The 25,102-nt window shown below is 46.7% G+C and overlaps 2 annotated features.

Annotated features, from left to right (window-relative positions):
• Positions 1,951-2,482: an enhancer, noted in NCBI's record as "OCT4-NANOG-H3K27ac-H3K4me1 hESC enhancer chr6:15077925-15078456 (GRCh37/hg19 assembly coordinates)". NCBI's record gives its function as "activates a minimal SCP1, AML or CMV promoter by ChIP-STARR-seq in naive and primed H9 embryonic stem cells {active_cell/tissue: H9 hESC(naive and primed)}" and the evidence as "EXISTENCE:reporter gene assay evidence [ECO:0000049][PMID:30033119]".
• Positions 20,528-20,765: a silencer, noted in NCBI's record as "fragment chr6:15096502-15096739 (GRCh37/hg19 assembly coordinates)". NCBI's record gives its function as "represses an EF-1alpha promoter that drives an FKBP-Casp9 reporter gene in an ReSE screen in HepG2 liver carcinoma cells {active_cell/tissue: HepG2}" and the evidence as "EXISTENCE:reporter gene assay evidence [ECO:0000049][PMID:32094911]".

A 25,102-nucleotide genomic window follows, 5' to 3' on the forward strand; every position in this document is an offset into this window, starting at 1 on the left:
TGGACCCGGGAGGAGAAGGTTACAATGAGCCAAGATCGCACCACTGCACTCCAGCCTGGGTGACAGAGTGAAACTCCATCTCAAAACAAAACAAAAACAAGGGCACTGCTCCCGGCATGAGGGCCGCACCCTTATGACCTCATCTAAGCCTAATTATCTCCCAAAGGCCCCACCTCCAAATTACAACACGCTGGGGGTTAAGGCTTCAATGTGGGAATTTTGGGGGGACGCAAACATTTGGTTCATAACAGACTTCAACATATCTTTTGAGGGACAGCCACCCACCCACCCAAGAAGATACAGGGCAGTCAACAGGGACAGAGGTGCCAGGTCTACCAGCTACATCCTCCAGTGACAGGAAACAGTGGGAGGAGAGACCCAACTGTTCCCACAGGATTAGACACCCCCAAATTAGTCCTCTAATGACTTGGCCATTTGATACTGAAATTTGCATGAGGCACTTCCCAAACAACCTTCACACAGGCGGAGAGGGTTAGTCAGGGTGGTCATTTGCCCTCCTCCCTTAGAAAACAAAAGCTGGCTAGTTAGCAGAGAGCTCTCTTGGGGGTAATGCTGGCCAGGCCAGGAAGTGGTCCTAAAAGCCAGCACAGTTCCCAGATTGGAAAAAGCCTGGGAGGGCACAGTCCAGCTGGGACTCAGCCTAACTGATGTCTCTCCTCGGCTCCCACATCAGGGCCACAGACAGGTTTAACAGGAACCGTCCTTTGCCCACTCATGTTGTTCATGCACGTACTGTCTGTGGAGGGGACACCCACGTTTCTACTTCTTAATGGCGGTCCCTGTCCTTTACCCCAGCCCCCCAGATCACATGACAAGGCTGAAGGCTGACAGCCTTCTCCAAAAACGGGCTCCTTTGGCACCGTCTCCTCTGCAGCCCTTTACTGCCCTTCCTTCCCCACACGGTCCTCAGTTTGGAAACACTGTGTTCTACCACTATTAATAATACATAGAGAGAGAGCCCATCTCCAAGGAGCTCCAAGGGCTTCACAGGCATTATCTAATTAGCCCTCACCACATCCCAGTGAGGCTTAGCAAAAGCCCTTCTCCAGCAAAACCATAAGGGAAAACTGCATGCAGGGTCAGAGCTGCTAAGAGACAGAGGTATCATCAGGTTGTCTGGGAGGGCAGAGGCCCCAGCACTTACCCTGGAGGTAGGGGAAGATCATTTGAGCACAGGAGTTCGAATCCAACCTGGGCAACATAGTGAGACACTATCTAAAAAAAAAAATTTTTTTTTTTTAAGATTCCTTGCTTAGAGATTCATAGCTAGTAAATTTCAATCACACTCCATCCTAGATGTTCTGACTCAGAGATAGTGGTCTTTCCAGTTCACCAGAGCTACTCCATTCTCTTGTAATGATTTCAGAAGCATAGCCACGACTATTTGCTGATTAGCAGCCATTCTTGCTGTGTTAGACATCATTGCTGGTCACTGATACAGCTCCCCTCTCCTTCCAGGCATGCAGAGGTCTGATTTTCTGCCCCACTTAAAGTCAGGCGTGGCGTCTCACTTGCTTGCACCAATGAAATGTGGGCAGAACTCATGTGTGTCACTTCCAGGTAGAAACATTTGACTGCTGGTCTCTCCAGCTTTCTTCCCCTGCCATGCAGTAATAGTGAAAGCTTATATTGAGACGGAACCTCTGGCAGTCTGGTGCCCGGAGTGACACCATGAACTGAGCTTTCCTGTTGACCAGCATCAAAGATGAGCTAGAAGTGTCTATACGGTTTTAAACCACTGAGATGTTGAATTTGTTTATTGCCACAGCATAACCTATTCTATCCTGATGGATACACTACCTAGAATTTCTTCATTCAGTCTCTTTTTGTTTGTTGAGACCCTGTCACCCAGGCTAGAGTGCAGTGACATGATCTCAGCTCATTGCAACCTCTGCCTCCTCGGTTCAAGAGATTCTCCTGCCTCAGCCTCTCAAGTAGCTGGGACTACAGGGACATGCCACTACGCCCAGCTAATTTTTGTTTTTTTAGTAGAGACGGGGTTTTGCCATGTTGGCCAGGCTGGTCTCGAACTCCTGATCTCAAATGATCTACCCACCCCGGGCCTCCCAAAGTGCTGTATTACATGCATGAGCCACCGCGTCCAACCCCTCATTCAGTCTTGAGTAGGAATAAATCTATCCTAGCTCTGAGGGATGGACCCTAATTGGCATATATCAATCAATTTAAAGTTACCTCCTCCTCTGCCGCAGTAATTGGTTCATGTATGGATAATAATCTAGACCCAAACCAATTAACTTGTAGTATTTGCTTCAGGGATGAGCCCATCAGTGACCAAGTACAAACTGTTGGCCGATTATGGAGAGCAGCGCTTTCTCCCCTTTCAGGGTAAGCCCCAGTTGCTGCAGGCGATGATCTTGCAGAGGAAGGAAGCCTGCTGAAAACAAAGGTGAACCACAGGTGGTGGAGGGGGGTGGGGGCAGTCTGCAAATTGTAGACACACAGAGCCCTGCCTGAAGCCCACAGTCAGTTGTGGACCTTTCAGAAAGGAACCAGTAATGGCCCTTAATTCTCTAAGCCAGACTGAAGTAAGATTTCCGTTACTTGAAATTTAATTTTTTATTTTATTTTATTTATTTTGAGACAGGGTCTTGCTCTGTCACTCAGCCTGGAGTGCAGTGGTACAATCGCTGCTCACTGTACCCTCAACCTCCCAGGCCCAAGCGATCCTCCTGTTTCAGCCTCCTGGGTAGCTGGGACAACAGGTGCGTGCCACCACACCTGGATAATTTTTGAATTTTTTGTAGAGATGGGGTTTCACCATGTTGCCCAGGCTGCTCTAGAACTCCTGGGCTCAAGTGATCTTCCCACGTCAGCCTCCCAAAGTGCTGGGGTCACAGGCATGAGCCTACTTGAAATTTTAAAAACAACCTGCCAGGCACTTCGGGAGGCTGAGGCAGGCGGATCACCTGAGGTCAGGAGTTTGAGACCAGACTGGCCAACATGGTGAAACCTCGTCTCCACTGAAAATACAAAAATTAGCCAGGCGTGGTGCTGGGCGCCTGTAATCCCAGCTACTCAGAAGGCTGAGGCAGGAGAATTGCTTTACTCCAGGAGGCAGAGGTTGCAGTGAGCCGAGATCGCACCACTGCACTCCAGCCTGAGCCACAGGGTGAGACTCGTTATCAAAAAAAAAAAAAAAAAAAAAAAAAAAAAAAAATTAGCCGGGCATGGTGGCAGGTGCCTGTAATCCCAGCTACTCAGGAGGCTGAGGAAGGAGAATCGCTTGAACCCGGGAGGCGGAGGTTGCAGTGAGCCCAGATGGTGCCACTGCACTCCACCCTGGGGGATAGAGCGAGACTCTGTCTCCAAAAATAAAAATAAAAAATAAAAACAACCTTAACTGATCATTTTAAACAACTCCTGCCTCGGAATACTAACCTGCTTGACATAGAGATATAAATCTGTATGTATTTCTACAATCAGTGCTCCATCTTTTTGGGGCTTGACATTTTGAATTTTGTTAGGTTGCAAATATTTGTGAGAAAGGCAACAGAAGTGAATTTTAGAGTCAGAAAGGAATTGTTAAAACATCCGATCTAACTGCCTCATTTTATAAATGAGGGACTCAGGAGCAGAAAGGTGAAGTCACTTACGCTGGGCAATAAGCATTCTGTTTCCTACTGACCTCCGACCCCACGGACTTAAATTGTGCTGTGTCAGAGTTGTCCTGGGCTTAAAAGGAGATAACATACATTGAGCTTCCAGCACACTGGCTGACATACTGTTGATAATCAACAATTGCTGCCTTGTTTTTATCAGTCACTCACATTTTAGTATAGAAGTGGAGGGCAGGGGGCTGATAAATAATGGACACTCTCCTCATGGGCTGTTATAGTGAAAGAACCCACCTTGAGCAGAGAAGCAGCCAGGACTTTGAGCTTGACCCATGACTGTCAGCAGAGGTGGGTGGGTTCGACTCCTGCGTGTGCCTGTGGCCACTCAGGGGTGAGTTGCCAAGCATATTTTGTATCTTGAGTTCATCCTCGCAAGAATTCAGCACTTGTAACTGTGCCCAGGAGTTACAAGTTACAAGGAGACCAGGAGCTCTGTAAGAAGCCGAGAAAGGTTTTTTTGCTGAAATTCTAAGAAACACAGGGGCACTAGCTGCCCAGATTGGGCACCCTACAAGAGGATAGAGCATGGAGGAGGCCAGGTACCTACCTCCACCTTCTCCACAGAGAGCGGCAAAGCATGGACACCCGGGGGCCTTGGCACCTTAGTGGCGACAAGGCAGAGCTGTCACTGAGTAAAGACAGGCTTGTGGGTAGTGGCTGGAGGACAAGAATGAGCCTTCTTAGAAATACCTAATGGAGGATTGGGTGCGGTGGCTTATGCCTGTAATCCCAGCACTTTGGGAGGCCGAGGCGGGTGGATCACCTGAGGTTGGGAGTTCGAGACCAGCCTGACCAACATGGAGAAACCCCGTCTCTACTAAAAATACAAAATTAGCCGGGCATGGTGGCACATGCTTGTAATCGCAGCTACTCGGGAGGCTGAGGCAGAAGAATCGCTTGAACCCGGGAGGCGGAAGTGGCGGTGAGCTGAGATCACACCATTGCACTCCAGCCTGGGCAACAAGAGCAAAACTCCATCTCAAAAAAAAAAAAAAAAAGGAAAAGAAATACCTAGTGGAGATTGCTTAGGGGACCAGTGGTCCCGGTGAACCTGCGAGGACAATGGCCCATGACATTTCAGTGGCTGCAGTAACAGAGATCCATGTCCACCACTGGCTACAAAAGCCTGGGAGACAGACACAGGCCACAGGGCACATACGATGACTGACTTAGATCCTTGCCCCAGCCCTGACCCAATAACCGCAGCAAGAACGCAGCATCTGGCCAAGCACAGTGGCTCACACCTGTAATCTCAGCACTTTGGGAGGCCAAGGCAAGTGGATCACTTGAGGTCAGGAGTTCAAAACCAGCCTGGCCAACATGGTGAAACCCCCATCTCTACTCAAAATACAAAAATTAGCCGGGCGTGGTAGTGCATGCCTATAATCCCAGCTACTCGGGAGGCAGGAGAATTGCTTTACAGGGGGTCGAGGTTGCAGTGAACCTAGATCATGCCACTGCACTCCAGCCTGGGCAACAGAGTGAGACTCCATCTCAAAAAAAAAAAAAAAAAAATTAAAGAATGGGGCATCTACCTCCCAGGAGCAAGCGGGAGACAGCCCAGAGGGAGGAGGAAGACTTAGTCAAAGGGAACCCCAGGCCACCAGAATCAACTGTGCTCATTTAGTGTTTTGTTGAAAGCCAGCCCTGGAGAATGCTTTTGTTTGTTTTGGGTTCTGGTGTTCTTAAGTCTTGCTTAAATGAGATAACAAATGTAAGCCACCCCACCCTGTCCTGACACAAAATGAACACAAAATAAATGGCAACTGTCTTTTCCTGCTTTTTTTTTTTTTTTTTTTTTTGGAGACAGGGTCTTGCTTTGTCACCCAGGCTGGAGTGCAGTGGCACAAACATGGCTCACTGCAGCCTCCACCTCCTGGACTCAAGCAATCCTCCCACCTCAGCCTTCCAAGTATCTAGGACCACGAGCATGCACCACCACAACCGGTTAATTTTTGCATTTTTTTGTAGAAATGATGTCTCACTTGGTTGCCCAGGCTGGTCTCAAACTCCTGGGCTCAAGCAATCCTCCCCGCTTGGTCTCCCAAAGTACTGGGATTACTGGTGTTAGCCACCAAGCCCAGCCTCCCTTGCTTTTTTTCAAAGCAGTGACTCTCACCTAAAATTCAGTTGGACCACATATATTCATCCAAAAAGCATAGGCTTCTGTGTAGATTTAGAAATTGCAAGATATGCCTTCATCTTATCAGCTGTACAGTTGTAGGTTATCTCCTGTTCTCTTTATTTATTAACTGGAGATAACACAACCCCTACTGTACCCTATGCACCCCACAGTGCTGTTTGCAAGGATTAAGTGAGATCATGGAAAGGGGAGGAGTTTTATCAGATGCTAAAGAACTGAACACCTTCAAAATTCTTATTATTCCAACGGTTCTCTTAAGTTGGTGATTAGAAGCTGACAAGCTCCTTCCAAATGAAGCCGTAGTCTCCTGACCTCACCACCTCAAAGAACAAGGCAGCAGCCCTCTCTTTCTCTAACATATTTATTTATTTATTTATTTAGAGACATGGTCTTGCCATGCCGCTCAGGCTGGTCTTGAAAGTCTGGCCTTAGGCTTGGCGTGGTGGCTCACGCCTGTAATCCCAGCACTTTCGGAGGCCGAGGCGGGTGGATCACGAGGTCAAGAGATCGAGACCATCCTGGCCAACATGGTGAAACCCCGTCTCTACTAAATATACAAAAAATTAGCCAGGCGTGGTGGCGGGAGCCTGTAGTCCTAGCTACTCGGGAGGCTGAGGCAGGAGAATGGCATGAACCCGGGAGGCGGAGCTTGCAGTGAGCCGAGATCGTGCCACTGCACTCCAGCCTGGGTGACAGAGCGAGACTCCGTCTCAAAAAAAAAAAAAAGAAAGTCTGGCCTCAAGTGCAGTGGTGTGATCATAGCTCACTGCAGCCTTGAATGTCTGTGCTCAAGCAATCCTCCCACCTCACCTTCCCAAATAGCGAAGACCACAGGCATGCGCCAACACGCCTGGCTAATTTTTAAATTTTTTCTTTTTGTACCAATGGGGGTCTCATCATGTTGCCCAGGCTGGTCTTGAACTCCTGGTCTCAAGCGATTCTTCAGCCTCAGTTTCCCAGAGTGCTGCAATTACAGTCAGGAGCCACCACGCCTGGCTACAAACACAGTTTTTTAAGAGACAAATTTATAAGATTTATCTGATCACCACTTTGCTCAAGCAAATCATTTTTCCAATCTATATTCAGTAGCAGCTGTAGCAACTGCAAAATGACTTACTGTTCATAACACTTTGCTTTGGCGACAGGAAGGAAATTAGACAAACTGTAAAGGTCTCCATATTTCATTCCATATTTATGTAAAAACCCAAAACACAATAATCCTTTGCGGTTGTTCCTGGTGTCACATGGGCCAGAGAATCGTGGAGTGAAGGAATTGGCAAAGCCAGCAAGTTGGTGATCAGAGGGCAGCTCCAGAGAGAGAGAGTTACCAAGCACAAGGGGCAGGGGGAGCTTGGCAAAGGGCCAGCCATAGGTCAGGGTGGCCATCACCCTACCCTCACGCCACCTATGTCCATACACAGACACCCACTGTCCACTCTCTTCCCTCTCAGCTCCTTCTCTTAGGAAAGGTTCTATTTTTATTTTTAATTTTTATTTATTTTTCTTTTGAGACGGAGTTTCGATCTGGTTGCCCAGGCTAGAGTGTAATGGCGCGATCTCGGCTCACTGCAACCTCCACCTCCCAGGTTCAAGCGATTCTCCTGCCTGAGCCTCCCGAGTAGCTGGGATTACAGGCATGTGCCACCACACCTGGCTAATTTTGTATTTTTAGTAGAGATAGGGTTTCTCCATGTTGGTCAAGCTGGTGTCAAACTCCTGACCTCAGGTGATCTGCCCGTCTCAGCCTCCCAAAGTGCTGGGATTACACGCATGAGCCACCGTGCCTGGCCGAAAGGTTTTATTTTTATTTATTTCTTTATTTAGAGACAGAGTCTCAATCTATCCCCCAGGCTGGAGTGCAATGGCGCGATCTCTGCTCGCTGCAACCTCTGCCTCCAGGGTTCAAGTGACTGTCCTGCCTCAGCCTCCCGAGTAGCTGGGATTACAGGCTTGCGCCACAACGCCCAGTTAATTTTTATATTTTTTGTAGAGATGGGGTTTCGCCATGTTGGACAGGTTGGTCTTGAACTCCTGACCTCAAGTGATCTACCCGCCTCAGCCTCCCGAAGTGCTGGGATTATAGATGTGAGCCACCATGCCCGGCCAACTCTTAGGAAAGGTTCTGACAGAAGTCATTTAAGCCTCAAGGTGGATGTAAGACACTCCACTGCCTCTCTCTAAAGGTATTTCCATTTTTACCCTTATCACTGTTTAAATACAGACGTGTCCAATCTTTTGGCTTCCCTGGACCATACTGGAAGAAGAATTGTCTTGGGCCACACATAAAATACACTAATGATAGCTGATGAGCTTAAAAAAAAACTGCAACAAAATTTCATAACGTTTTAAGAAAATTTACGAATTTGTGTTGGGCCCCATTCAAAGCCATCCTGGGCCATATGTGGCCTGCGCGCTGTGGATTGGACAAGCCTAGTTTAAAACCTTTAGTACAAAATTCAAAATTCAAGCCCTCTGGCCAAGCACAGTGGCTCCTGCCTGCAATACCAATGACACATTGGGAGGCCAAGGCGGGAGGATTGCTTGAGCCCAGGAGTTCAAGCCTGCAGTGAACCATGATCATGCCACTGACCTGGGGAACAAAGCAAGACCCTATCTTAAAAAAAAAATCTCAAGCCCCCTAATGTAAGAAAGCACTCCCGGCTGGGCACGGTGGCTCATGCCTGTAATCCTAGCACTCTGGGAGGCTGAGCCGGGTGGATTGCCTGAGCTCTGGAGTTTGAGACCAGCCTGAACAACATGGTGAAGCACTGTCTCTACTAAAATACAAAAAAAAAAAAAATTAGCCGGGCTTGCGACTGTAGTCCCAGCTACTCGGGAGGCTGAGGCAGGAGAATTGCTTGAACCCAGGAGGCGGAGATTGCAGTGAGCCGAGATGGCACCACTGCACTCCAGCGAGACTCCATCTCAAAAAAAGAAAGAAAGAAAAGAAAGAAAGAAAGAAAGAAGGAAAGAAAGAAAGAAAGAAAGAAAGAAAGAAAGAAAGAAAGAAAGAAAGAAAGAAAGGAGAGAGAGAAAGAAAGAAAGAAAGAAAGAAAGAAAGAAAGAAAGAAAGAAAGAAAGAAAGAAAGAAAGAAAAAAGAAAGAAGGAAGGAAAGAAGGAAGGCACTCCAGTTTGCTTCTCCTGCCAGTTCATCATTACTCCACCAACTCCATGTTGCAGTCACACTCAACATGCCGGGCATGTGGTGACCAACAGTTCTGCACCTTGACCACAGTGGTAGTTAACAATGTCTGTTTCATGGTATTGATGTTGTAACGTAGTTATGCAAGATGCCACATTGGGAGAGGATGGAGGATGGGTGCCTAGCACCTCCCTGTATATATATATATTTTTTTTACAACTTCCTGTGACTCTACCATTATTTCAAAATAAAATGATTGGCTGAGTGTGGTGGCCCAAGTCTGCAATCCCAGCACTTTGGGAGGCTGAGGCGGGCAGATTGCCCGAGCCCAGAAGTTCAAGACCAGTCTGGGCAACATGGCGAAACTCCGCCTGTACAGAAAATACAAAAATTAGTCAGGTGTGGTGGTACGTGCCTGTTGTCTCAGCTACTTGGGAACTACAGGTCGAAGTCAAGGATTCAGTGAGCTGGGATCATGCCACTGCACCCCAGCCTGGGTGAGAGAAAGACCTTGTCTCAAAAAAAAAAAAAATTATTAAAATAAAATGTGCCAAGTCTCTCATGTCTTTCTCTCTTTTCTGAGAACATTAGCATTCTCATACATACTTTCTAGACCTTCCTCATTCTTCAAAATCAGCCCGCTCATCATCACTCAGCACCAAATAGGCCCTCAATAAATGTTTGATGAATGGGCAAATGAATGGTCCCTGTTATTTATGTGATAAAGAATTAATAAACCAGCAAAGGCTGGGCACAGTGGCTCATGCCTGTAATCCCAGTACTTTGGGAGGCTGAGGTGGGTGGACCACGGGGTCAAGAAATCAAGACTATCCTGGCCAACATGGTGAAACCCCGTCTTTACTGAAAATACAAAACTTAGCTGGGCGTGGTGGCGCATGCCTGTAATCCCAGCTACTCAGGAGGCTGAGGCAGGAGAATTGCTTGAACCAGGGAGTCAGAGGTTGCAGCAAGCCAAGATCACATCACTGCACTCCAGCCTGGCGACAGAGCAAGACTCTGTCTCAAAAAAAATAATAAAATAAAATAAAAATAAATAGCTGGGCACAGTGGCTCACGCCTGTAATCCCAGCACTTTGGGAGGCCAAGGTGGGTGGATCGCCTGAGGTCAGGAGTTCAAGACCAGTCTGACCAATATGATGTAATCCTATCTCTACTAAAAACACAAAAATCAGCCGAGTGTGGTGGCACGCACCTGTAATCCCAGCTACTTGGGACGCTGAGACAGGAGAATCACTTGAACCCGGGAGCCAGAGGTTGCATTGAGCTGAGATCGTGCCATTGCACTCCAGCCTGGGCAACAAGAGCGAAACTTCGTCTCTAAATAAATAAATAAACCAAAATTTAGCAGTTAAAAGGATGAGCTCGGAAGTCAGGCTGCCTGACTGCATTCCCAGTTCTACACTCTCTGTGTTCCTGAGTGCCTCTGAGCTTCGTTTCCTCATCTTAAGTAGGAATAGTATGTCCATAGTAGGATCGTTGTGAGAATTCAATGAGTTAATACACATAAAGTGCTTACAACACTGCCTGGGCACAAAGTAAGCTCTTAAAATTGGGCTTTTATTATATCTGGGATGGCTTTTCTGACCTGTCTCCAAACATATCACTAACCCCCATGTTCCCACATGTACCCAAAACATCCCGTGCTGCTCCTCCACCCATCCCCATGCCTCCATCTTGCCGCCAGCATCATCTTATCATACTGTGTCCTGGTTATCTACTGCTGTGTAACAGACCACCCCAAGAGTAGTGGCTTAAAACAACCATACCTTTTATTTTGCTCAAGAATCAACAGTTTGGGCAGGCTCTGTGAGAATGACTTTTCTTTGCTCTAGATGGTAACAGCCCAAGTGGCTCAAAGGCTGGGGAATGGATCTAAAGCCATATTCACTCACATGCCTGGTGCTTGATGCAGGCTATCAATTGAGACCTTAGCTGGGGCTCCTGGCCAGAACACAGACACACAGCCTCTTCGTGTATCCTGGGCTCTCTCGTGACATGATGGCTGAGCTCCAAGGGCAAATGTCCGAACAGAAAAAGAGCCAAGAACAAGCCATATCACCTTTTATGACCTGGTCTCAGAAGCCACCTGGTGTTACTTCCTCTACTATCTATTCATCAAGGAAGTCCCAAAGGTCCTCCCAAGTTCACAGTAAGAGGAAATAAACTCCAACTCTTTTTTTTTTTTCTTTTTTCAGACAGCGTCTCACTCTGTTGCCCAGGCTAGAGTATAGGGGCATGATCTCGGCTCACTGCAACCTCTACCTCCTGGGTTCAAACCATTCTCCTGCCTCTGCCTCCCGAGTAGCTGAGATTACAGGCGTCCGTCCTCATGCCCAGCTAAGTTTTGTATTTTTTTAGTAGAGATGGAGTTTCACCATGTCGTCCAGGCTGGGCTCGAACTCCTGACTTCAGGCGATCCACCAGCCTTGGCCTCCCAAAGTGCTGGGACTGCAGGCATGAGCCACTGCACCCAGCCGAACTCTTGATGAGGGAGTAGCAAGGTTCTGGCAATGTGGGACCAGAGATATTACTGTACTAACCGTGTGTTTTACTTTTTGTATCTTGATGCTTTGAGATCTGGGGCCTTGCTGACTCTGAAGGGACTACTCCTCCCAGGATTAGCCAATTCCTAGAGACAATAAACAAGCTCAAGTTCTAACTCCTTAGGATAGAATTCAAGACCCCCTCCAATTAGGCCTCAGTCTAACTTCCTACCTTCCCTCTCTCTAGCCCCTCTACAAACTGCTCCAACGGTTTAGCCAATTTCCTGTTCTCCAAAGACACCTCGCAATTACTCTTTACTGGATCTCTTGCTCACCTTTCAAAGTCCAACCTGAGCCCTGGCTCCTCCGTGTTCCTCCATGCTCCTCCGTGAAGCCATTCCCATTCATAGGGATGCATGTCCTTTCTGAATCCTGTCTCACAGCATTCATCCTCTGTACCAGTCCCTTTATTGCTTGGTTATACAACAGATCTACCTATGTTGTTAATTAGATTCTGAAGATTAAAGCTCTAAGGAACTTTAAGAGATTATTTTGTTCAACACCCTTAATTTGAGGCGAGGAAACCAGGCCTGAGCGATTACTGGCCCAAGGTCCCAGCACTCATTAATGGCAGGGGAAGGAATAGAAGCCACAAACCCATTTCTACTTTATTCTCTTTCTTTAACACCAGGTTGCCTCTATTCAGCTATTTTAAATGTGTTAGTCTTGTCCCTGGCAGAGTTTTGAAGCTATATTAGGGCAGGCAAGGACTACATCTTAAGTCGCTTGTATCCTGACAACATCCAGCAATGTCTTAGTAAATCTATGTTGAAACCATAAAAATATTTCTAGGTCTTTCCTTTACCCACTAGGAACCGAAACTTTTCTTTTTCTTTTTTTTCTTTTCTTTTTTTTTTTTGAGAGAGAGTCTCACTCTGAAGTCCAGTGGTACGATCTTGGCTCACTGCAACCCCTGCCTCCGGGGTTCAAGAGATTCTCATGTCTCAGCCTCCCAGGTAGTTGGGACTACAGGCGCACACCACCACACTGGACTAATTTTTGTATTTTTAGTAGAGACAGGGTTTCACCATGTTGGCCAGGCCAGTCTCAAATTCCTGGCCTCAGGTGATCTGCCTGCCTTGGCCTCCCAAATTGCTGGGATTACAGGCATGAGCCACGGCACCCAGTGTTGAAATTTTTCTTTCTTTTTTTTTTTTTTTTTTTTTTTTTGAGATGGAGTCTCGCTCTTGTCCCCAGGCTGGAGTACAATGGCACGATCTTAGCTCAATGCAACCTCCACTTCCTGGGTTCAAGCGATTCTCCCTGCCCCAGCCTCCCAAGTAGCCAGGACTACAGGTGCCCACCACCATGCCCAGCTAATTTTTTGTATTTTTAGTAGAGACAGGGCTTTGCCACGTTGGCCAGGCTGGTCTCGAACTCCTGACCTCAGGCGATCGCCCACCTTGGCCTCTCAAAGTGCTGGGATTACAGGCGTGAGCCACCATGCCCAGCCGAAATTTTTCTTAAGAATAAAACGTTTTTCTCCTCTTTTAATACAGAATACCTTTCTTATGAGTTTTCTAAAAGTACGTTAAGCAAACCAAAACAAAAGGAGGTGGGTAATGTACCTGAAGAAACTTAGCCAATTCAATTTTTGCAACCTCAGAAGCATGTTCCATTTACTTCTTGGAACTAACTGTGGTCCCACCATAAATTGAACCAGATACACTTGTTCTAATGTTATCTCAACTTTGCAGGCAGATTGTAACCCAGGGTTGGTTTAGTTCATCTATTTCCTAGTCCATTAATCCACTGCTCTTGCTGTCTCAGCCGTGTGGGCATTCTTTCAGTTGGAACATACAGAGGCTGCTTTCTCCTCCAAAAGCTTAAAAGCAACAAAGCAAGAAAGAGAGAAAAAGCAAGAAAGCAAGAAACTGAGAAAAAGCAAGAAAGCAAAAAAGCAAGAAAGGGAAAGCAAGCAAACACAGCTTCTACCTCTTCCCTTATAGAATCAGAGCCCCTTGAGAGTGCCTACAGGATCTACTTAGAAAGGTTATTTTGCAAATGTCCCATTAGCTACGGCATAATACAGCTCTCCTCCAGCAGAAAAGCTCTGCTTTCTGGGAGTCTGTTCCCTCCTCAGCCTAATGGATTCTGTCAGGGGCAGGATGTGGCTTTTGCCATCACGGGCCATAAAACCCAGGAGTAATGGCTGCAGTGATGGCGGCCTCCTGCCGGCCCATCAGCACGGGAGTTTGACGGTGAGGAGGAGAGAAAGGAAAACTGGGAAAAGTTCTGAATGCTCAATAACTTTTCAGAGGTAAGATGAGGGAGAGAGAGACCTAGAGCCATAATTGCAGAAGCCTCTTGCAAAATTTAATTAAAACTTGGGCAGAAACAAACACCAGAAACAAGTGTCATTCATCAACTTAAACCGCCAACTAAGGTAAACACTGCCACAAACTCAGGAAAAGAAAGGGAGGAGAATGGAACGAGGGGTGATCACTCTAGATATCAAGCAAATCAAATTACCCTGAAGGCCCTGCCAGACACATGCATTAATCATTGGTTATCCCAGCTGCACACCTGTATGGAGAGGAGAACTTGGCGTCCTCAAATTGACTCTGGCTGGCAAAGTGGGAAAGCAGAAGGACAGGGTGGCAGGCCAAGGGGAACCCAATCCAGAAGTGGCCACGTGGCACCCACGGCTCTGCACTGGCCAGGTGGAAGAAGGAGGAACCACGTAAGATTCAGGCGAGGGCGTACAATCATCCCCAGCTTTCCAGTCTTGCTTCTTGTTTTCTGGAGCCTATGTAGCTGGACAAACCTGCTGAGCTGCAACGTGAAGCAACTTTCCCCGGGAGGGGGAAGGCTTCAGGGTGAATCCAAGCCAACTCCAGGGATAACAGAGTGGGAAAGCAAGTTGAGCTTTCAAATCCTTTATGTGGCTGGTTTTCTTCTCTCGTGAGATTCAGCATTTAGTAGGAGGGAGACGGGGTAGGGTGGGGTGGGGACAAAGTGAGCCGTTGACTTTGTTTCCTGGGTCACAGGCTTTGTACACCCACAAGTCCCGAGGGCAGGTCACAAGCTGAAATCTTCTTACTCCAGAGAGAGGAGGCTGGAGAGCAGCTCAGCCATCCAGGCTGGGAGCTATTTGCACTTGATGAGCAATTTCAAGTGGGAACCATCAGAGTGTGTGCCTGTGTGAATGCCAGAGTGCATTTAGAGGGAACAAATGATTTATTATCGGGGCCTCAACAAAGTTACATTCGAAAAGGGAGGGAGCCTCTTATTCCCCTCCTTATCATTAAAACCTTAAAGAGGTAGAATCCATTTGGTCTCTTAAGCCAGGCTGGAAGGGAGTCACAGCTAATCAAGCAGCCCGCTCAGCTCCTTCAGCCCTTCTTTGAGTACAACAATATGTATAAACTGGCAAAAGGGACTACAGACTGCTTTGATGTTAAACAAAGAGGAAAACCTCCAAAACACGGTAAAAATTGTATCTCTGTTTAACTCTTCCGCGTCCTTTCTTCAGCACAAATTTAAGACACGTACAGCTAGGCTCCAGGGAGAGGTACATAATGAAAAATTATCATTTCAGATACTTAGATCCAAGTATTTTGTAGCAAGAGAAAATGTCCAGTCTCCTCTTCTGAATTACTTTCTCTGCTTACGTTTTTTTGTTTGTTTTGTTGTTGTTGTTGTTTTTGAGATGGAGTTTCACTCTTGTTACCCAGGCTGGAATGCAGCGGCATGATCTCGGCTCACTGCAACCTCCATCTCCCGGATTCAAGCAATTATCCTGCCTCAGCCTCCCGAGTAGCTGTGATTACAGGCACCTGCCACCAAGCCCGGCTATGATTAAATATTACTTCACTAATAACAAATACTGTGCTCTGGCCAGGTGCAGTGGTTCACACATGTAATCCCAGCACTTCAGAAGGCTGAGGCGGGAGGATCACTTGAGCCCAGGAATTTGAGATCAGCCTGGGCAACACAGTAAGACCCCTGTCTCTACAAAAAATAGAAAAAATTAATTGGGCATGGTGGCGTGCACCTGTCCTCCCAGCCACTTGGAAGGCTGAGGCAGGAGGATCACTTGAGTCCAGGAACTCAGAGACTACAGTGAGCTGTGGTCGTGCCACTGCACTCCAGCATGGGTGAAAGAAGGAGGCCCTATCTCAAAACTAGATAAATAAATAAAATACTGTTTTTTGAGCAGTTTCTGGGGCCTGATACTACAAGAAGAGCTCTACGGTGACCACCTCATTTAATCCTTCAATAACCCTGTGAGATCCATATTGTTGTCTCACCTTAAAACTGGAGGAATAGACGAGCTAAGGGACATGCCTAATATGTCCCAGCCTATGATAGAGAAGTGTTCTTTTTTTACTTGAGACTGAATCTTGCTGTGTCACCCAAGCTAGAGTGCAGTGGCACAATCTTGGCTCACTGCAACTTCTGCCTCCCTGCAACTTCCGCCTCCCAGGTTCAAGCGATTCTCCTGCCTCAGTCTTCCGAGTAGCTGGGATTACAGGCGCACACCACCATGCCCAGCTAATTTTTGTATTTTTAGTAGAGATGGAGTTTCACCATGTTGGTCAAGCTGGTCTTGAACTTCTGACCTCAGGTGATCTGCCCACCTTGGCCTCCCAAAGTGCTGGGATTACAGGCATGAGCCATCACGCCCAGCCTAGAGAAGTATTCTTTTTAAATTTGTAATTCATTTGAAATGGATTTTTTTTTTTTGAGACGGAATTTCGCTCTTGTTGCCCAGGCTGGAGTGCAATGGCACGATCTTGGCTCACCGCAACCTCCGCCTCCCGGGTTCAAGTGATTTTCCTGCCTCAGCCTCCCAAGTAGCTAGGATTACAGGAGTGCACCACTACGCCCAGCTAATTTTGTATTCTTAGTAGAGACAGGGTTTCTCCATGTTGGTCAGGCTGGTCTCAAACGCCTGACCTCAGGTGATCTGCCCACCTTGGCCTCCCAAAGTGCTAGGATTACAGGCGTGAGCCATCACGCCCTGACAAAATGGAATTTTTCTAAAATATATTGTATGCTTCCAGGGCTTACAAAAGAAAATTCCTAGGAAATGTCCAGAGGAAATGATCCCTGGGCAGGTTGGAATTCCAGCCTTTAGGTCTTCAGGGATGCCAGGGAAGGAGAATCTGTTGTGAACAAAGACCACAAATTGCTGCCTATGTGGAGAAGAGGAGCACGTGCCGGCGCAGCCGGACAGAAGGAGAAGTCAGAGGAGTTGAAGGTTGGAGGTTTGGTGAAGTAAAAGAGAGCACTAGGAAGGTTTTCAATCACTATAGGTTGAAAACCAGCCATGGTTCAAGAAGGAAGAAGCTCATAAGATTCCGGCATACATATTGTCCCACTTCTCCTTGGTAATGATGGGGTTCAGGACACGCTATCACACAATATGGCACCTTGGCACATCAGAGGCAGAAAGGTCACTCTCTCTTTCCCCTTGCCCTCCCTGCTGAAGCAGATCATAAGACCTTCACTCCAGAGGTGCTCTCCCTACACCTGGAGGAAAGGAGCTTCCTTATCGACGTAGGAGCACAGAGAAGAATCTGAACAAACAGGATCTGCTAGACACCCCCAGTTTGTCACCGTTAGAGTCAACCCACGTCGTCCAATCACATTTCTCTACAACCATCCTCTCTTCACCAAACCTAAGCACACAAATACACAGGTTTCCCTGTTCCTTTGGCTTTTCATTTCTGAAAGCTACTGTGTTTCATAAAACTTACATTAAATAAATTTGTGGGGCTGGGCACAGTGACCCATGCCCATGATCCCAGCATGCCAGGAAGCCAAGACAGGAGAATCGCTTGAGGCCAGAAGTTGAAGACCAGCCTGGGCAACATGGCGAGACCCCATTGCTAAAAAAAAATAAATAAATAAAATTAATTAATTAATTAATTAAAAATTAAAAATTAGCCAGGCATGGTGGTGCATGCCTGTGGTCCTAGCTATTTGTGAGGCTGAGGTGGGAGAACTGAGCACAGACATTCAGGGCTCCAGTGAGCTATGATCTCACCACTGCACTCCAGCCAGGTGATAAAATGAGACCCTGTCTCTCTTTTTTTTTTTTTTTTTGAGATGGAGTCTCACTCTGTCACCCAGGCTGGAGTGCAGTGGCACAATCTCGGTTGACTGCAACCTCTACCTCCCGAGTTCAAGCAATTCTCCTGCCTCAGCCTCCTGAGTAGCTGGGACTACAGGCATGCACCACTATGCCTGGCTAATTTTTCTATTTTTAGTAGAGATGGGGTTTCACCATATTGGCCAGGCTGGTCTCAAACTCCTGACCTCAGGTGATCTGCCCGCCTCAGCCTCCCAAAGTGATGGGATTACAGGCGTGCAGCCACACCCAGAGACCCTGTCTCTAAAAAAAAAAATTATAAAATAAATTTTGCCGGCCGTAGTGGCTCACACCTGTAATCCCAGCACTTTGGGAGGCCGAGGCGGGCGGATCACGAGGTCAGGAGATCGAGACCATCCCGGCTAACACGGCAAAACCCCGTCTCTACTAAAAATGCAAAAAATTAGCCAGGCATGGTGGCGTGGTGGCCTGTGGTCCCAGCTACTCGGGAGGCTGAGGCAGGAGAATGGCTTGAACCTGGGAGGCGGAGCTTGCAGTGAGCTGAGATCGTGCCACCGCACTCCAGCCTGGGTGACAGAGTGAGACTCTGTCTCAAAAAACAACAGCAAAAACGTTTGTGGACAAAAACAATCGTGGTGATGGTTGAGTGATGTTGTTAACCTTATTCTTCTTCCTTATTGCCCTAGAGCTCCATTTCAACTCACACCAAAACATTGTATTAGATGCTCAACTTTCAGGTTAAGTATCGATCATATCCAAAGAGCATGCATGGGGTAAGACATCACCTGACTCCCAGATACTGTCATTCACATTTACAATAAAATGCAAGGATCATCTCATTATTTCGTTGTATTCAAATTGTGTGTCCATAAACCTGAGAAATGGGGATGGGGGAGGGTTGGAGTCACAAAGAACTGATTTGTGGCTGGGCACAGTGGCTCACACTTGTAATCTCAACACTTTGAGAGGCCGAGGCAGGTGGATCACCTGAGGTCAGGAGTTCGAGGCCAACCTGGCCAACGTAGTGAAACCCCGTCTCTACTAAAAATACAAAAAAATTAGCAGGGCGTGGTGGCAGGCACTTGTAATCCCAGCTACTTGGGAGGCTGAGGCAGGAGAATCGCTTGAACCCAGGAGGCTGAGGTTGCAGTGAGCTAAGATCGTGCCATTGCACTCCAGCCTGGGCAACAAGAGCAAAACTACATCTCAAAAAAAAAAAAAAAAAAACAAAAAAAAAAACTGACCTGTAATCCTAGCTTACTAGCAGAGTCACTTTGGACACTTTAATCTCCCAGCCTCAGTTTCTCATTCTGTAACATGGAACTAAGCATACCCACTTCACAGCACTATCGTGAGAGGCAATAACTCCTGGAGAGCCCTTTCAGGGGTTACTGTATGAATACACTGAATGAACAGATGCATGTTTTGCCCGCATTTACAAATATAACACCTTTACCTCCTGGCCTCTTACACCGTCAAATTGAACTTTATTAAACACTGATTGTTAAACCATAAAATTCATGGTGAGATGGATCTGTTCTGGACACCATTTTAAGGACTATGGCAATTCCAAAGTGCTCAGAGAAATTCACTGTGAGCTGGTGCCACAGCATGAGACGATATTGGAACAAAGCTACCGTGCAGAGAATTAAAGTGGGTTGAGCAGCCAATTAAATGTATGCGCTTCATACTTTCACAGGCCTTATCTCACTCAATTAATAGAATGGCATCAAAAGGTTGATATTTTTATTCCCACTGTACAGAAAGCTTCGACAACCCCCATGGTCACAGAACCAACAGCCGGCATAGCTGAGATTCATATCCAGGTCTCATTGACTCCGAAAACCCTACTTTATATATTGTTTCATGTTGTTACCTAATTTCATAATGAATTTAGATACTGGAATTGTATTAAGAGTACCCAGAACATTATTATTATTATTATTATTAATTATTTTGAGTTGGAGTCTCGCTCTGTCGCCCAGGCTGGAGTGCAGTGGCGCAATCTCAGCTCACTGCAAGCTCCGCCTCCCGGGTTCATGCCATTCTCCTTCCTCAGCCTCCTGAGTAGCTGGGATTACAGGCGCCCACCACCACACCCGGCTAATTTTTTTGTATTTTTTAGTACAGACAGGGTTTCACCACGTTAGCCAGGATGGTCTCGATCTCCTGACCTCGTGATCCGCCCGCCTCAGCCTCCCAAAGTGCTGGGATTACAGGCGTGAACCACCGTGCCCGGCCCCAGAACATTATTTAAGGCTGGACTGTTTCAGGCAAATTTTCAATGGTTTGCGATCCATGGGTGAGTGATTCTGAATATTACTGGTGAAACGCAATTTCTCTCTCCATCTGTCTTCCACTTCCTGTTTCTGTCTTTCTCCATCCCTTCCTGCTGACCCCCGCCATGACTTCATAGTGTCCTCATCAATGTAAAGATGAGATTGTAAATCCAAGATTTTTTTTTTCTATTTAATATACTAGGTAAAGAGAGAGAAGCCAAGAGAGAGAGGGAGAGAAATTACAAAGACGTATTCCTTAACCTCAAGAGTTTATCCTTGACATCTGTACTGAAAACATTTACTCTAAGGCTAAAGTAGTACTTTCATGTCTCTGCTGGTACTTTAGGCAGAGTTTCTAAAACAGTGTGCCAAGATCATGGGTCCTAGTGAGGATACTGATCCCTTCAAACATCAGGGCAGCCAGAGCTGGGGTGACCTCAGTTCCTGGTCTGTCACCTCCAGCCAACAGCAGCCCTTACCAATATTATCATCTCTATATGGACCTCCCCAGGAGAACGATTAGGAAGCTCTGTCTCAAGTCGGGAGGCAAACGTTGGGCAGAAAAACCATGTGGCAGAGGTATGCCTTGAAACACTCCCCAGAAGACCCAAGGTGTCCATATATGTTTCTCCTCTAGGAGAAATATGGCATAGAAGAGTCCAAAAATTGGCCGGGCATGGTGGCCCACACCTGTAATCCCAGCACTTTGGGAGGCCGAGGCGGGCAGATCACTTGAGAGAAGGAGTTCGAGACCAGTCTGGACAACATGGTGAAACTCCATCTCTACTAAAAATACGAAAAATTATCCAGGTGTGGTAGCGCACGCCTGTAATCCCAGCTACTTGGGAGGCTGAAGTACAAGAATCGCTTGAACCCTGGAGGCGGAGGTTGCAGTGAGCCAAGATCGTGCCATTGCACTCCAGCCTGGGCAACAGAGCAAGACTCCATCTCAAATGAAAAATCAAAAAAAAAGAGTCCAGGACGGGCGCGGTGGCGCACTTTGGGAGGCCGAGGCAGGCGGATCACGAGGTCAGGAGTTCAAGACCAGCCAGGCCAATATGGTGAAACCCCGTCTCTACTAAAAATACAAAAATTAGCCAGACGTGGTGGTGCGTGCCTATAATCCCAGCTAGTCAGGAGGCTGAGGCAAGGGAATTGCTTGAACCCAGGAGGCGGAGGATGCAGTGAGCCAAGATCACGCCATTGCACTCCAGCCTGGGTGACAGAGCAAGACTCCGTCTCAAAAAAAAAAAAAAAAAAGAGTCTGAAAATCTAGACCTGGAACTGTCACTAAACTCCCTGTATGTTCCTTCCCCTCCCAGAGTAGGCCTTGACTCTCTAAAGCCCTCTACCATTCTAACTTCCTGGTTGGAAAAAATATATCTATCACTTAGACACGAAGGTGCAGCTCAAAGGAAGAAATATGGCAGCATTTGCAGCATGAGAGTCAGTCATTTTATTTTTTTGGTTTAAAGTGAATTTTCATTTAGTTCAACTCCAACCATCCTGATGGAACCACAGTTTGGCTGAAGGGTAAAACAATGTGTGCACTGGAGTGACTCGTGTAGATGTGACCTAATTCTCAGCCGCCCCACCAATATTTTATTCTTCAAAACTGACCTACTAGACAACTGGCGTTTGACATTGCTGTTGCTAATGCATGCGAGTATGCCTCAGCCTCTTCCTGGAAACTGTGGCATCCTTATCTCCATCTCCCGGAGCCCCAGGGACTTTCCAGGGAGGGGCTGCTATCCTGGGGAGTAAGCACAAGAACTAACTTGCTGTTTTGTCTTCAGACCACAAACATCTATTATTTGAGCAACCATTTCTACGATAACCAGGTTACCCTAACTCTCTAAGCCTCAGTTTCCTCTTCTGTAAGATAGGAATAACAGCCAGGCACAGTGGCTCACGCCTATAATCCCAGCACTTTGGGACGCTGAGGTGAGTGCATTACCTGAGGTCAGGAGTTCAAGACCCGCCTGGCCAACATGGTGAAACCCCATTTCTACTAAAAATACAAAAATTAACCAGGTGTGGTGGCGTGTGCCTGTAATCCCAGGTACTCGGGAGGCTGAGGCAGGAGAATCGCCTGAACCCGGGAGGCGGAGTTTGCAGTGAGCCAAGATCACACCATTGCACTTCAGCCTGGGCGACACAGCAATACTCCATCTCCAAAAAAAAACAAAAAAAAAGAGATAGGAATAACAATATCCACGTCAGAGGACAGTTGTGATAATTAAATGAGAAAATGTATGTAAAGTGTTTGACACAGGCCAATCACCTCCTTCTCCTCCTGGCTTTTTTCATAGCCTTCTCCATAGACGATACTGAGTGAGGAGTCCCAAGACGGGGAAAAACTGGTGCTGAGAGGACAAGCAGGCAAAGAATCCTAGACAAGGCCTAGATGGCTCACGCCTGTAATCCCAGCACTTTGGGAGGCCAAGATGGGTGGCTCTCTTGAGGTCAGGAATTTGATACCAGCCTGGCCAACATGGTGAAACCCCATCTGTACTATAAAAATACAAAAATTAGCTGGTGTGGTGGCCTGTGCCTGTAATCCTAGCTACTCGGGAGGTGGAGGCAAGAGAATTGCTTGACCCGGGTGGCGGAGGTTGCAGTGAGCAGAGATCGCGCCACTGCATTCCAGCCTGGGTGAGGAAGACTTTGTCTCAAAAAAATAATAATGATAATAATTAATTAAAAGAAGAAAATTAAAAAAATAATAAGAAGAATCCTAGACAAGAAAGAGTCCGTTTCAAGGTCACAGTCTTTTCCTGGAATGAGTCGGTAACTGGAGGTACAACATTTCAGGAAGAGGGGAATTGAGCTAAACAATAAGCTACTAAGCCTGCAGCTCTTAGACAAATGTGGACTTGTGAATGTAAATCTAACAATTTTGACATATAAAAATGTTTTTTTAATTCCACAAATTAAAAGTAGGGCCAGGTGTGGTGGCTCACACCTGTAATCCCAGTGCTTTGGGAGGCTGAGGTGGGAGGATGGCTTAGCTCAGGAGTTCAAGACCAGCCTAGGCAACAGAGCAATACCCATCTTTACAAAAAGTAAAAAATTAACCAGGTGTGGTGGCACATGCCTGTAATCTCAGGTACTCAGGAGGCTGAGATAGGAGGATCAATTGAGCCCAAAAGTTTGAGTCTGCAGTGAGCCATGATCACACCACTTTACTCCAGCCTAGGCAACAAAGCAATACCCTTTCTCAAAAGAAAAAAAATTCAAAGGAGATTGACACCATTTGTGAGAACATTTGTGCTATCCCCACAGGTGGCAATGAATAGTTTGCTTCATTGGAAGTATATGTCTCTTTGACTCCCGTAGAAAACACACAGCAAACTAGAGACTGGGGACCCCAGAAGTGGATTTGGGCTTATGGGTAATACAGAATACGCACTTTTTTTTTTTTTGAGACGGAGTCTCGCTCTGTCCCCCAAGCTGGAGTGCAGTGGCACAATCTTGACTCACTGCAAGCTCTGCCTCCTGGGTTCACGCCATTCTCCTGCCTCAGCCTCCCAAATAGCTGGGACTACAGGCACCCACCACCACGCCTGGCTAATTTTTTTGTATTTTTAGTGGAGACGGGGTTGCATCATGTTAGCCAGGATGGTCTTGATCTCCTGACCTCGTGATCCGCCTGCCTCGGCCTCCCAAAGAGCCTCACAAAGAGCTGGGATTACAGGCGTGAGCCACCGCGCCTGGCTAGAATATGCACTTTTAAAACTACAGAATGGCTGGCGTTTGCTGTTACCACTTTATACATATGTGCTTGCCTCTTTCTAAGTCACTAAAACCAATGTTTACACTGTTTATACTGCATATGTATCAAGAAACATAAAAGTGCTCATTCTGTTTGACTCGTTCATTGTTTTTGTTTTTGTTTTTTTAAGACAGAGTCTCACTCTGTTGCCCAGGCTGGAGTGCAATGGCGTGATCTCGGCTCACTGCAACCTCCGCCTCCCGGGTTCAAGCGATTCTCCTGCCTCAGCCTCCCGAGTAGCTGGGGTCACAGGCATGCGCCATCACGCCTGGCTAATTTTCTTGTATTTTTAGCAGAGACAGGGTTTCACCACGTTGGCCAGGCTGGTGTCGAACTCCTGACCTCATGATCAGCCTGCCTCAGCCTCCCAAAGTGCTGGGATTACAGGCATGAGCCACCATGCCCAGCCCCATTCATTCTATAGCTGGGAATTTTTCCTAAGGGAATAATTCAGTGGCTTAAGCTAGAAACCTGGACATTATTGTCAGGACACTGCCACAGGCAAGAACAGATGGTGACAAAGTGAGCCATAGTACAGCCACTCAGGTGAATACACAGCCATTAAAAACAATGTTTTCTGTAATCCATGTTATAGCATGGGAAATGCCTATAATATTAACTGAAAAGGGACAAAATATTAAATATAAGGATGATTACATCTCTACTTTTTTATTTTTATTTATTATTATTATTATCTATTTATTTGTATTTATTTTATTTTTTAGTAGAGATGGGGTTTCACCGTGTTAGCCAGGATGGTCTTGATCTCCTGACCTCTTGATCTGCCTGCCTTGGCCTCCCAAAGTGCTGGGATTACAGGCATGAGCCACCGCGCCCTGCATCATCTCTACTTTTTAAAATCAGCATACATAAAATAAAAATACAACAGGGAACTATGCCAAAATATCAATAGTGATTTTCTTTGAGTGGGAGAGTTTTTCTTCTTTTAAATTTTTCTTTTTTTTTTTTTTTGAGATGAAGTCTTGCTCTGTCGCCCAGGCTGGAGTGCAGTGGTGCGATCTCAGCTCACTGCAACCTCCACCTCCCAGGTTCAAGTGATTCTCCTATCTCAGCCTCCAGAGTAGCTGGGATTACAGGCACCCGCCACCATGTCTGGCTAATTTTTGTATTTTTAGCAGAGATGGGGTTTCACCATGTTGGCCAAACCATCTCAAACTCCTGACCTCAAGTAATCTGCCCGCCTCGGCCTCCCAAAGTACTGGAATTACAGGCGTGAGCCACCACGCCCGGCTTCTTCTTTTAACTTTTTCTAAATTTTCTGGTTTTTAAAATCGAGGTATTATTTACATATAGAAAAGTGCACAGATCTTAAGTGTACAATGAATTTTAACAAATATGTACAACAATATCCCAAATCAAAATCTCTAAGGCTCCTTTCTTATTGATCCACTTCTGAGCACACAGGCAACCATTATTCTTATTTCTATCTCCTTACATTAGTTTTGTCTGTTCTTGAACTT

The sequence above is a fragment of the Homo sapiens genome, chromosome 6 (assembly GCF_000001405.40).
Source record: "Homo sapiens chromosome 6, GRCh38.p14 Primary Assembly".
NCBI classification, from domain to species: Eukaryota; Metazoa; Chordata; class Mammalia; order Primates; family Hominidae; genus Homo; species Homo sapiens.